At 42.1% G+C, this 14,830-nt stretch overlaps 1 protein-coding gene and 1 long non-coding RNA gene across 13 annotated transcripts in view; one reads left to right on the forward strand and one right to left on the reverse strand.

Moving 5' to 3' along the window:
• The window catches only part of LOC124900807 (uncharacterized), an 84,414-nt gene extending 76,687 nt beyond the window's left edge, over nucleotides 1–7,727 (reverse strand). Inside the window, exon 1 of the long non-coding RNA XR_007058359.1 lies at nucleotides 7,654–7,727. This is a non-coding gene — a long non-coding RNA (uncharacterized LOC124900807). The remainder of the gene's footprint in view (nucleotides 1–7,653) is intronic.
• Nucleotides 1–14,830, forward strand: part of PALLD (palladin, cytoskeletal associated protein) — a 431,390-nt gene that overhangs the window by 111,836 nt on the left and 304,724 nt on the right. The gene's annotated exons all lie outside the window — the stretch shown is intronic.

Raw genomic sequence — 14,830 nt, forward strand, 5'->3', positions numbered from 1 at the left:
CTGGAATCATTGCAGTTTTCCACAAAGAAGGGGACATCCCCCTGAGGCACCCAGAGTTTCTTCCAGTTCATGTTTCAACACACACACACCCCGCTTCCTTCCTGTATCCTGCTGAGCTGAGTAGAATTATCTCCAAGGCCTTAAGAGCATTACCTCTCCATAAAATTGGGTGATCTGGAGTTGTCCTGAATTTCAGCAGCAGGACTCAAACTTCCTTTATTCAGACGCTGTGGCTCGGGTCAAGATACATATTAGCCAGAATTATGTTTACCTGTGAATAATTGGCAGCCCAATTTGCAGTGGCTTACATTAATAGGGGTCTATTTTTTACTATAACAAGAAGTCTGGCCTTAGAGAGTTGCTGATGTTGGTTTAGCAGTTCCACTTGTCAAGCACTGATCCCAGGAGACAGGAATGGAGGACGAGGAGATAAGAAAGCAGGAGTGAAAGCTGTTACCAAAAAAAAAAAAAAAAAAAAAAAAGTTCTCCAGGTGGATGACTAGGCCTGTTCCTGTTGTGATCCCTCCAGGACATCTGTACATTGTCCTTCAGAAATGTCCAACCAACAGATGAAAGAAAGGTGCATTGATCCCTCAGTCCCTGACCCCACATTGGGCAAGGGCTGCCCTGTGGGATGTCACCAGCACTTCCAGCTGTGCATGCTTGTTTGCTGAGTAGGGTTCTGGATGCCTTCATGCGGGGGTATCAGAGTGGCCTAGGGGCAGAGCACAAGAGGTGCTGAGGGCAGCTTAGTGGATGTGGGCTGTCAAGATGTCCTTGCAGGGAGTTGCGATGGCTGGAGTAAAAGGTGGGCTCCTGTGTGGATACGATGTGGGACCCAAGACGCATCTCATACAGCTCAGAACCTTCTGAATCTGAGGTTTCTATGTGCTTCCTTAATTCTGGGAAGTTCTCTGTTACTGTTCCTTCAAAAATGTCATCCCAAGTATTCTCTTCTTTTCTTTTGGGATTCCTTCTATATCAATGCAGATATTGTCCTCCACAATGCTTAGTTTCCTTTTACAAATACCCTCTCCTTATATCCCCTCCAGAATCCTTTAGAGCTAGCTCTGCATCCCAATCTTCCTACTTGCTAATTCATTTTTTGTCTATGTTCAATCTGTCATTCGATCCATTTATGATATTTGTTCCAATGCATATATTTTTCTACTTAGTATCTCCAATTGGTTCTTCATAACTTCTTATTGCTGTTTCATGTCTATCTTCCCTCAACTCTTTTATAATATTTGATATGCTTATTTTAATCTTCCTGGCCCATCAACTATGTTGCATCTCGGATAGCTTTCCACCAGGAGTCTTTCTCTTTATTCTCCTTGGCAGTCTCAGTGTTTTTCCCTCAGAGCTCCTGTTCTCCTGAGGGCATTCATCTCCTTGATTGATTAAGTATCTCTGGAGTGAGGGCTAGAAGCCAGGGCCTCCATCGGTCCCCTTCCTAGAGGGCCATTTCAAGGCTGAGATGCTCAGGTGCTACTCTCTGGGCTTAATCACTTCATGTAGGGCATTGCCCCATTCCCCAAATGGGTGACCCTGTCCCTAGGGACTTCGTCGAAGGTTGTGTGTGGAGGGGTGCTGGGGAAGGCAATGCATGCAGCTGGCCAGACAGCTTGAGCATTTCCTTATCAGTCTCTCATGGAGCAGAAGTTTCTGCCTCACCACGTGCTCTTTAGCAGCCATTCAGTGGCAATCTGGCAATGCACAAGACCAAAGGGGTAGAAATAAACTCGTGCTCCCAACCCAGACCCTCCTCTAGAGGCCAACTTCCATTCGGGGCCAGCACTTTTACACAAACATCATGATCCAACCACCTTCTGGCTCTCCAAGTGTTCCTCTTAGTTTTTCCAGTAACTCTGGCTTCAACATCCTCCCTCTCACCTCCATGCATCTTCAGAATTGACTTCAGGAGTGGCAGCCAGCAGCCTGGTCATTTCTATTCTGTCAGATTCCCTATCTGTAGAGATAGGGAGTTCTTTTCTCCATGGGTACAGGGTGACCTCTTTGCCACAACTAATAAAAGCTGCATGTGGCTCCATCTTCCCAAATCTTGTGCAGTCACAGGTATATTATCAAATCTGTCTCCCACCTACTAATATCTAGAGTCTACTCCTGGCTGGAACAGTTGACCAGTGTGATGAATCCTGGAAGCAGATCCTGGAAGCTGTCCATGATTACATACCAGGAGGCTCTGACTGGACCCTTGGTCACTGGGGACCAGGCCCTTCCTGGTTTGGACCTAATATCAGCAAACGGAGTTGTTTTCTGGTTCTGGGGTCTACTCCAAGAGCCTGCGCCATACTCTGCCATTTGCTCAGGTTTCCTGACAGCTGCCACAACTGCTCCTTCCTCTTTCTTCCCTCTAATGAGCTCCACCAACAATGAAAATTCAGACCATCCCACCAGTTTGCGGTGAAGTCTAAGCTTGTTTAAAAACTCCTTGCTATAAATCACTCTCTGCTGAACTGAATCGATTGTCTCTGATCCTGTGAGCTATGTTCCATCACATCCTGCCGGGGGCCAGCTGCCAGAGCTCCTAAAGCACAAACACAAAGGTAGCACCTTCCTCTCTTCTTCTTGTTAACATACAAGGAAACAGCAAAACAAAAACACCTAAACCTACAGATCGTATCAACTCTTCAATTTGACATATGTATCTGAAGACTATCAGATTAATCTATAAGCAAAACTGAGGTCCTTGAAGACTTATTCTATGACCAAATAGTAATGAAAAATTCTGCAGGCTACATTTCACTTCTGGCATTTGTCTGTTTTGAAGTTTTGCCTTTCTGGTACCATTTTAATGCTCAACTACCTGGAATCTGGGCTGATACTGCTCACGGATTTTTCTTCTTTCTGGTAGTACATGTTTCTCACCAGCAGTCTTAAAGCCTGCTTGATTCTCTGTCCTACTGAAAGAGCTCAGAGGATGCAGTTCCATTAATGAGTCAGATTCATCAGTGTAAAGATGTCCAACAGGCCAGGCGCCATGGCTCATGCCTGTAATCCCAACATTTTGGGAGGCTGAGGTGGGTGGATTGCTTGAGCTCAGGAGTTCAAGACCAGCCTGGGCAACATGGCAAAACCCCATCTCAACAAAAAGTACAAATATTAGCCAGGTGTGGTGGTACATGCCTATAGTCCCAGCTACTTGGGAAGCTGAAGTGGGAGGACCACTTGAGCCCGAGAGGTTGAGGCTGCAGTGAGCCAGGATCGTGCCACTGCACTCCAGCCTGGGTGACGAAGTGAGACCCTGTCTCAAAAATAAAAATAAAAATGTCCACCACAGACCTCTTCTAAGTTTCCTAAAATGCCTACTTTTAAGAAATTCAGTGTCCTTGAAATCTAGGTTTACAAAAAAAAAAAAAAAAATGCTCATCTTATAATTTCCAAAATCATCTCTTCAACCCCCTTGAAATAGGGAACTGATATATCACATCCCCATGTGGTTCCACCCCCAACCCAGGATTTCTCCCATAGTGATAATTCTGATCCCAGAGACGTCTCCACAGTTTTCTGATTCGTGGATGATCACTACAAGAACCATGAATGCTTGTGTCAAGTTGAGCCCCAACTCCCTTGCTCCAATCTGTCCAGCAGCTGAACAATGGTGAAAGTTTTCCTTGGCTGCATTCTGGGGTAATAATTTTATCTAAGGTACAGCTGTGCATTGTTCTTTAGGTCGAAAATCTGGGACATTTGCCCCCAAACGTAAGGTGAATTAAACCAGACTGCCTTGCAACTGCCTCAAAGTCTGTCTCAACACAGTGACTCATCCAAGAGAAACAGAGATGTGTCACCAAAAATATCTATAAATTTTTTTCCTGTTTTACTAGAAACTCCTTAGGGATAGAGTCGAGGGACTCATGCTGTGCTTAGAGCTAAACTTCCTGAAAATCTTCTCCCAGGGTCCTGGAGGCAAAAAGGGCAGTGCAGAATGCTCCTTAGAAGGGAGTGTGGAGGAAAATGCATGCTTATATTAGAGAACCCATGTCTCTGAAACCCTGGAATTCAAAGAGCTTTCTGGACTATGCCCTCACTGGATTCGGAACTACCAGGCTTTCATCATCAAGAATCCATCTTGCCAGCATGGGGCTGAAGTTTCTGCTTCCTGAATACCTTTTCCCCCATCAACTTCCTTCAGTAACTAGTGGAGAAAAATGAAAATATTCTGGGAGGTGGCATGACAGAAAAACTGAGTTTCTAATGTCACCCTTTGCAATGCATCACACACATTTAGATATCTCAAATGCCTGTGTCTAGGTGCCTTGTAGAGTGACCAACCATCCTGATTTGCCTCGGACTGAGGGGTTTACTGGGATGCAGGACATTCAGTGCTGAAACCAAGAAAGTCCAGGACAAACCCAAATGAATTGTTCACCCTAGTTTCATGCTCAAGATGAATAGAGACACCAAAATACAACAAAGATAAACATCTTGACTGAGGTGTATGTATTTCTGACAGCCATACCGCATCAAAGAGCATGCACCGTAATTCTTTTCAGAATTCCCCTCACCTACAGACCATCCTCAGCCTCAATCTTTACCTGTCCACATCATCTTCTCCTCATCTTTTGGATATGTGTCAGCACTCTCTGCAATTAATTGTGTTGCATCCTGTATTCCAGATAACAATGCCAGAAATGGATGCAGATTTTGGTTTTGGCTATAAGGGCTTGGTTGTGAAACATACATATTTATATTGAGAGGAAAGTAGTGGGGAGAAGAATCCTACCTCCTTTGGCTGGTTTGTGCAATGAGCTCAGGACTACACATTTAGATATGAAGTAATTAGAAATAATGAACCTCTGGGATTACCCCAAGACTTCCAGGAGACAGAGTGTGCCCCAAGTCATGCTGGCTACAAAGACTAGAACTCGTTATGGATAAAAATGGGAGAATTCGATTAAACTAATTCACGGGTGTATATCCAAAGAGTATTTAAAAACATGGTAGTGGTGCCACATAAATAATACATAGATCCTACAAAGTCATGCCAACATCGTGAAAAGAAATCTGAGTCGTAGAGCTCCACATCCTGCTGCCCTCCAGACCTAATAGTGTTATTCTTCTGGTTTGTAGCTGGGAATTCATTTAAAGGCTGGAGAATTCGGTTTCGACTGTTCTTTCTCTGCTTAAGTCATGTCATAAGTAATGTCCATCAGATGTAACTCTGTGGATGGCGCCTTCACTTTAGCAGAGAATCTCCAGTCTCAGGAAGAAAATGAAAAGTGTATTTTCCTCTTGGCTGGATTCCTGCCTCCTGTCTTTTTTCTCTATCATATTGAGCACTCTACTGGTCTTAATCATTTTTTCTAAAAAGTCCTGGATTGTATTATTTTTTAAAAAGACACTGTGGACTCTGTCACTCATATTTTTAAAATAATAATAGTAATAAATTAAAGGAAGGCCTATGTCAGTGACCATGCTGCGCTAGGGAGACCCTTGTGCCCAAAACAACAGCTCCCAGCTCAAGAGAGGGAGAGAGCAGCCACACTGGCTGGCCTAGTCAATGTTTTTTTGCCAAAGATTTCTTTGTATCTGGAAATTGCTCTTATGTGTATCATACATGTTTGAAATAGCTTTCTCCAATTTGAAAAACCATAAAGCAGCAATAAACAAATGGGACTCTGATTAAAAAAAAATACTTTGTAAGTATCATGCATACTTTTACAAGTGTTTATTAGATGGTATCATTTTGCCTTTGCTTTTGCATAGTGGACTCTCAGTGCTCATGTAAACTTCCAGATGTAGTTAGGTCCCTAGACCATCCACTAACTTGGGTATATTTTTCTCTATTAACTATTTAAAAAAAAATCACAGGAAAAGAACCTAATGCTGAAAAGGCAGCCAAAAGTACAATGAAATGAAATCAATCCTAATAACAAAGACTTCTCTTCTTTCCAAAAGCATGCGTTCCTCCCCAGTCCTGCACGGTAAACCACATCAGTGTGGGATGGTAACATTTCAGTAAGTTATTTGAATATCCCAAGACTAAGACCATGAATAAAAAGCAACAGCAGCAAGATTGCCAATAGGCTGTGGGTATTTAAAACACAATGGCAGAAGATTCCTCGAATACAAGGGATAGCTAGAGCCAATAAGCCCCAGTGCATGGATATTAGGAGGTTCATTGATTAGGGTTACATGATTAAAGAAATAGGCTAAGGGAATAAACTGCTGTATACAGGGTTTAGCTCATATTTCTTGCAATGCATTTTTTGAGTACTTTTGCCCTCGTTCCTGGGAAAGATGGTAAGTTAAAAAAAAAAAAAACTTTATAAAGCATTACATTAAAAAATTCATACAAAAGGTACTAAGAATAGAAATCACATTCATGCTTCAGTTTCACACACTTTCTGTCCCAAACAGCATATAAATAAATATGATTTTTGTAACAGCTACATTGTGGCATATACCACAAAGGGCTCGGGTATCAGGCAAGGGAAAAACAATTTATCTTCATTACCATCTATCCACACATACTTTGGTAATCATGAAGACATTTCTCCTTACAATTTCACAAGGAAAATAACAGAACTTGGGCTCTGGGTGTCAGTATCTGGCCCGAGTCCATTTAGTGGCAAAAGGAATTCTTAAGTACTGACATTACATTTCAACGGGGCACAAAGAGACAGGATTTACATTCCTTCTTGGATTAGGTTTTGTTTTCATACTCATTCTCTTTAGATAATCAAAAGCATGTGTCCCCACACCTTGCCAGTTCCACCAAGGGATCCTCAGCACCCATCTCAGAGGGGTCTGATGTGACATCTGAAAGGCGATGTTGCTGCCTCCCCAGCCAAGGGGGGTGCTTGTAATTTCTCCTGCATTATCTTTGAGGTATCACTCACCAAAGCAATGAAGGGTAACCATTCCGAATCCCACCAGTGACTCCTTCTGAAAAACCTATCAGTAGGAGCCTTCAGTTTTAAATAATCCCTGCCTTGTAGTCACACAGGGGAAGAATACCCCAGTCAATTTATGAGGTCTTTGCCTTCAAGTTGTAGATGAAAGGAGTTTGTTGCTAGCTGGGAAAGCTTATTTATGACATGATTGTTAAGGAAGGAATGGTAGTGTTCCCATTTTTTTCTTTTTCCTTTTTTAAGCCATCCTTGGGTTTTGATGATTGTGACAGTATTTTTTGCCTATGTTTTACATACTCCTTTTGGCCTTGAGTTTAAACTGGGTTGTATTCAAGGAGTCAACTTTAATTTTGTGACCAAAAAAAAATCTGTCATCAGAGCTATCCTGCCTTCATTTTGAGTACTCCCCACGCTATCTTCTCTTTAACTCTAACTTGTTTTATTTTGAATCGCACAGAGAAGGAATTTGAATGGCTGCATGCATCTTTGGAGATGCTTAAACCTTTTCTCATTTTGGGTCTTAAGGATAAGTAGATCTACATCAGAAAAATATTAAAGGAGGGATCCTATATTCTAAAAATATAAAAAAGTAATTCAGAGTAGAGTAGTTCATCAAATTAAAAGACTATTTGTTGACTTCATCCTCTTTAGTGACAAAGGAGAATTTAGTTGCACTTCTTTCAGTCAGGGAACTCCACTGTGGATACTACAGAAGCAGGCCAGATCATGTATATAATTTCACTAGGGGAGAAACAGATGGAATTTATTTTCTTACCTGAGTTCACCAGGTTTTCTCATACCTCGGCCTCTCTACTCCTGGTTTCTGATTGGAATCCCATATGGTATTTCTCAAGTGGGAGGCAAATCCCTAAGCATTTGCTTCAAAATCAATGAAATGAGCAGGTAGGGTGCTTGAGAAAAATAAGGATTCCCAAGCCCCATCCCAAGTCTGCTAAATCAGCATCTCTAACAGTGGCTCCAGGAATCTGAATTTTTAACAAGCTTCCCAGGCAATTCCTAAGACCCTAAAGTTTGGGGAATGACTACTGTGATGTCATAAGAGATTCTAGAATGGAGACTGGCAGGATTGCTGTTGTTTACCCCAAGACCAGCTTTGCCCTCATGCCTCAAGTAATAGAGCCCCTAAGTCTTGGCCAGGCACAACTCTCTTACTGCTAGGTATGTCCGTTTTATGGTTCCAGGCCACCATGGAGATGCAAGCATAAGTGCTGTGAGCAGCTTAAAAGACAGTTAATTGACACACGCACTTGCTTCCTGCTTCTTCTTTCTTGCTGGCTGGAATCGGGGCATCATGGCTGGCACTCAAGCATCCATTTTAGAAAGGAGGCAACATACTAAAAAGCAAAAGGGAAAGAATTTGACAACAATGAGCCTGCCATAACAGGCCCAAATAGCCCAACTCTCCATTTCTTCTATACGATAGAGAAATAAATGTCTGCCTGGTTTAATTCGTAAGTCTCTCATTTTGGTGTTTTGTTTTCAGTTGTGGAATGGAGTAGGGTAGACGGTATGTGCAGCTAAGCCTAAACTAAATGATATAGACTCCAAGAAAAAAAATGTCTGCTTTTTCTTCCATAATCCTAGAACCTGCCTGGTACTGATAAGCTGATTTCTTATAAGCAAGCAGTCCATTGTGGGGGATGAGATATGGAGATGGGTTTCCATGCTTGCAGATTCACAGCCTTTGCAGCTCCTGGGTCACCAGAACAAGACTAGGGGCCGGCCAGTCAAGCAGTAGGAAGATTATCTGCAACCTTATGCAATCATTAGAATTAAAGAGAGTATAATGAGGGGATGAAGAGCAAAGACTATAGGCAGAGTCAGACTCCCTGGGTCTGAATACTGGGCCCTCACTTTTTCGTGTGCATTTCAGTAAATTGCCCAACTCCTTCGAACTTCAGTGTCCAACATTATAAAACGAGGAGACTTAGAAAACCAACCATACAAGACTTACTATGAGGCTTAAATGCTATACGTAAAGTCTGGCATCTCAATAACAAATTTTCTCAATAAATGGCAAATATTATGATGGTTATTTTTGAAAACTGTAAGAGGAAAGAAAATGAAACATCAGGAAGTGTAGTTATGAAGCTCCCTCCACCAGCTACCCCAGAACCTGATTTTCTTCCACCTTGAGAAATAAATACTGTAAGCAGTTGAGTTTTGGAGAGAGAAAGAGAGATGTTTAAATAGGATTTTGAAGTCCCTGCTCTTGCTTTGCAAAGAAATCATCAGTAAAGTTCTATATTTTTCTTAGGAAAGAAAATAAAGTAACACCAATGAGAACAGGGAAGTGGAATAAGAGGCCACTACGAAGTGAGAGGTAGCTTCCAGTCCTACCACCTCTGATTAGTTTATTGGCTGGATGATCTCAACCAAGTCGCTTATACTCTAAGCCTCAGTTTCCTTTTCTGTAGAAAGGAACTCATCTGCCTCAGATGATAACTGAGATAAGTGAATGAAATAACAATGTAGTTATATGTAATAATCATATAATTTGGAATTTATAAAGAACTATAACTTTCTATGGTTTTATTACATATTCAGACTCCATGCTACATTCCTGGGGATAGCAGAAACTCTCTCATGTAAATCTTCTCTGTGCCAATTAATCTCAACTTCAGGGAGGATCTGGGTAGAGAAGCTTTGGGCACGATCATCTCCAGTTGCTGACTTTCTAGGGTTGTAAGGGCCATACTCGTACAGGTAAGCCACCAGAATAATATATCGAAGCATCTAAAAAAATTTTGTTACACACCCATCTTAGTCTCTATTTAACCCCTTTCATTGTACAAAAGGCAAGTGCTTTGAAAGGCCAGTTATAATCAAGTATTAGGAGGAAATGCAGAAATCACTTTCAAGTAGGTTGGCTGTGCATAGCATGGAGGCTGTACTTAGTCCATCATAGTCTGAAGCTCTTAGATGACATCAGGCATCAAAAATGCCACCTGTCACTGCTGCCCAGCCACAAGAATGAGTCCTTCCCTCCAAGGAAAATACTGACTGCTATCAAATATGTATTTACTTATTCACAAGCTTCCCTCCCGCTCAGCTCCTCACTGGCGTCACCGATTAGGTCCTTATAAATCCCAGTACAGTACATTTTTTCTTCCACATGGATCCTCTCTGTAACACTTTCAGGCTTCTAGAAGGCAGTGATAATTTCTATCACACTCAACATCCATCAGATCTAGATGTTTAACATGTAATGTGCAGTTTTAAAGGATGTGGATGCCGAGCCATGACGAGGCCTGCTGGCTCCATCTTTTCTGAGTGTCCACACTGGGCCAGGTCTGTATCAGGCACTGAGCTGTGAATAGGAACATGCTCACGGAGGTCACCTTTCAGCAGGAGATCCACTTTGTACAAAGACACACATATCTTTGATAAGCCGTAGGAAAGCAGAGTCTAAGGCTGAAGGAAGAGTTTCTGAAGCGAGATAACTTGGCAACTTGGAGGATGGATAGGAACTGGTGCAAAGGCCATGTAAGTGTGAAGGGGCTGATATGGATTAGGAGCTGAATGAAACCCAGTGGGCTGGAATGTGGAAGGGAGCTGGCAGGAGCTGGAGAAGGAAGCAGCAGCCAGGTCATTTGGTTGGCATTTAAATGACTTTTGCTTTTAATCTAACTGAAATAGGCAGCCACTTAGCTGTTTTAAACAGGGAACTGAGCTAATCCAACCTGCACATGAAGATGATGTCACTGCTGTTGTAGGGATAGCCAGTTAGGAGGCTCTTCAGGTGCCTGGTCTGGAAAGAGTTGTGTGATTCAGGTTGGGCTGATAACTGTAGTTAGAGAAGTTTGGAGATCAACTGTTTCTTATACTGTGGTGGGAAATCTTTCAGTAGAACCAACTCAGATCTATGGATCCTTAACAGCTGGAGGAAGACAGTGATGGGGGAGTCTGTACTTATGACGAGCTCCAGGGTTATCTTACATACACAATGTTCGAGGCTTGGACTGACACTTCTGTATCTTCTTATTGCTAGTGAATTCCTTAAAAGGACTAAATTCATGAGTCTGGATCCACCCCAAACCTAGTCTCCTGAAGGTTTCCTAAAACATCAGATTTAACTGTCACTAGAATGGTTGTCCCCAGTGAAAAGCATAGTTCTCCTGGCCAATGGTCAGTAAAGTCTGCACTTTAAGCTCTTCCAATAGTAGTGATGAGTTTGTGCAAATTGGTCCACACATTTTCCTGACTCACAATGTAAATGTTTAAGACTAGTGGGCAAACGCACAACCTGCTGACATGGAACAGAGCAAAATCAGCTGACTCCAAGCCACAAACCACCCCAGCCCCATGCTAAAAATGTCATTAATGGGCTTGATTAATGATACTTAATTTTGTGTTTGCTTTAATGGTATTTCAATAAAAAATTATCTGGCTGGGCCCAGTGGCTCACGCCTGTAATCCCAGCACTTTGGGAGGCCAAGGCAGGTGGATCACGAGGTCAGGAGTTCGAGACCAGCCTGACCAACATGGTGAAACCCTGTCTCTACTAAAAATACAAAAATTACCCAGGCGTGGTGGCACGCTCCTGTAATCGCAGCTACTCAGGAGGCTGAGGCAGGAGAATCGCTTGAACTCGGGAGGCAGAGGTTGCAGTGAGCTGAGATCGCACCACCGCACTGCAACCTGGGCGACAGAGTGAGATGCTGTCTAAAAAAACAAAAAAAATTACCCTTCATTGGGCAAAAAACCAGGGAACTCAACCAAAAAGATGTCCAAATTATAGTGCTCAGTGAAAAAAATACATCACAGGGTAATAAAGTATAATATTATGCCACAGTCAGATTTGCATTTGATAGATAACTTTGTGCACTATGTAGAGGCTGGCTTAAGGAACAAGCCAGGGGACAAAACACATGGCACCCTAGTCTGTGCGGCCAGCCTCACACACCCTGACTTTCTGTCCTTTTGGGAAAAGACAGCAGCATGCTTGTTAATGGAAGATCCTAGACTTCAGATGCAGACCCTCACCAAATTTCTGGCTAAACCATGGGTCTATACCTCAAAATTAAGCCACACAGTATATGCAAAAAGTATGAGTAGTAAAAGCAACAAATGTTACTTTCCCCCACTTCTTTTAAAATAAAGTAATATAATATTCTAAGCTAGTGATTCTCAAAGTAGGCTTTGAAGTTCATTTTCATCAAATAGCTGAGAACACTTGTTTAAAATACAGAGAGCCTGTGCTGGCCCTCTGAATCCAAGTGGTGGGGCCTGGCAATCCACACGTTGACAAGACCCATTTGATCTGATGCACACAACTTGAAAACTGCAATTCCAGACTAGCAGATGCATATTTAATTATTTTCCAATTGTTTCAAATGACTATAAGTTTGCTTTGTGTTATTTTTCTCTTCCCTAGCCATTGATAAACCTCTGAAAGTTCAGCCTAGGCTTCCACCAGACAACCTAGCAGAGGGAAGGCTCAATAAACAATGAATCAATACTTGATTGATCTATGGCATGCAAATTATATTACGCAAAACTTCTCTCATCACTACTAAAACTTTTCCAGATGTACAGTTTATTCACTGTTGCCATTGTCTTACAAATCCTTATCTAGAGTTTATTTCTGGAGAGAGGGTAAAAATCCCTAGCCCGCAAATGAGGATCTATGGAACTCCCGCTGGGGCCGCTACGTGACACAAACCAGAGTGAGAAAAAAGGTGCCCTGCTCCTATTTTCAGCTCCTTACTCCTTCCACCACCCCAGTCTTGATAGTTAATCCTAGAAATTTTTCTCATTTGCTTACTTTAAGCTTTGCTGTTTATGGAAATATGCCTTTCTATCTGGAATTTGTAAAGACCATATTACCATATTTCCATATTTCCTTGTTTTGGTATGTAAGTCCCTCTCTCAAATGTATATAAATCCCGTAAGTGATGAAAGGAATTTTACTAAATGGCCCTTTTGCCATTTGCCAACCTCTCTCTTGGCAGGTGTGACCCAAGGGGTCCATCACTTTGTTAGGCGGCAGATAAGCAAGCTGTGAATTCCAGTGGCCTATGACCCACCTTTGCTTCTCAGAAGCTTCCTCCTGAATTTATGTAGGGATATGATGCTGTGTAAATCTACCGTAAAAGTCCTTTGCACACAAAAGACCTGATTCTTCAGGTCTGCGAACACATGCTTCTTCTGTTTGACTTATATGGGCACCCTAGGGTTTGTATTTGCGCCAAAAAGTGGAAGCCAAGCTTTCATTGTAAACAGATGGTGCTGCTAACAAGGAAAGTAAAAAATTCTTCCAGTCACTCCTCGCACCAGAGACCTGAAGAAGATTCTGCTTTAAAAACAAATGAACAAAACTATCAAATACTCCCTCTCCCCTATTCCATAGGCTCTGGGTCAAAACACACATACACACAGCCCCTCACATGCAGACAAAATCTGGTCTCCATTCCTCACTTTCCCCATCCTCCTCCCTATGCCAAATTCTACATTCCTCCAGTGTAGATACTATAAATATAAAAAGAACAAACTCAATCCCGAATCACGAGGGTGCTTTTCTTTGCATGACCACAACATAAGCACTGGTCCATCATTTTGGGATTTTTATGAAGCCTTGAAGAATGTTCAGAATTCCAGTCTTGCTCAAACAATGTCTCTCACCAGTCGGCATGATTCAGATGTTGAGTTTCAGGACAACCTGGGGATTTCTGGTTAGAAGAAAACATTCTCCTGAAGTGTCTCAATGTGAAAGATTTCCATGTATTTCCCCCTTTTTTCTTTCAGCCCAGAAGAAAAGAAATGTGGAAACGCGTATGTTTTCTTTAACATGAGGGAATTTGAAGTTGATTGCAATCTCCCTGTCCCTAAGCCCAAAAGAGAAGTAGCATTATTATGCTGTAATCAGGTCCTTTCTTAAATTCCTCCATTAGGTAGCATCTTATTACATAACCACTTTATGCTTTTAAATCTGAATATCGATAACAATCTCCTGACAGATCATACTTCCGGTGCCTAAGTTAGAAAGCGAATGACCCAGACACTCTGAGATGTCCTTTGAAGCATTCCAGAGGAAGGGGACACTGGAGGTTATCCAGTCACCCGTGCCTTGGGGCAAGACCACACTCAAGCTGTTCCAAAGAAATGAGGATCCCTTTTATTTTTGAAGTTTCCCCAGAGACGCAGATTCCACAGCCTCCCTAAGTAAACCCTCAGTGCTTCAACAGCATTAACATTTTCATAGGAGAGTTAAGCCCACTATCAAGGTACTTATTATTGAATTGACACTCTGTCCTTTGAGCCTTAGAAAATATCTACATCAAGGCCTTTCTATTGTATACATGAAAGCTAAATTGTCTATCTACTTGTATAAGATACCATGAGAAAATACACATTTTTGGAAACCTTACCTCAGTCTCTGCCATCTGTTTATTGGGGATACCTGCTCTGCCAAACTCACAGTACTACCTGAAGGATCCAAAGAGATCACATGTCAGGCTGCCCAAGGTACTATTTGTATCACCACCTAAATAACTATTCTAAACCTGAATCTGGAAGTAGTTGTTTAAGCTACTTTATTATAGAAATAACAGGGATTCCTGAAATAATACTTTAATTATAAGCCTAAGTTACAAATACAAACATGTGGTTCATGAAATATCACTTTAATGCTCACATAAGCAAACTATGTGTTGGCATCTCACAAAGCACCAGGGAAAAATTATTCCCCTGAAGATGCAGGACTTGCTCTGAAGAGCAATGGTAGAAAGCTATCTCCATGGTTTAGCAATCACAGATGCAGGGACTGGGTAGGTGAGGATGGAGGCGGCGAACTGCCTAACAGAAGGAAGCCCTGTACAAGAGAGACACACATAGATCACAGTGGTTCAGAAAGCCTAAGTGTGAACGCATAAGGAAAGGCATACCGGGCAAACGGAACTGAAAAAGCAAGGTTATGACCTTACTCTCAG

This window comes from Homo sapiens, chromosome 4 (assembly GCF_000001405.40).
Source record: "Homo sapiens chromosome 4, GRCh38.p14 Primary Assembly".
In the NCBI taxonomy this organism is placed as follows: domain Eukaryota; kingdom Metazoa; phylum Chordata; class Mammalia; order Primates; family Hominidae; genus Homo; species Homo sapiens.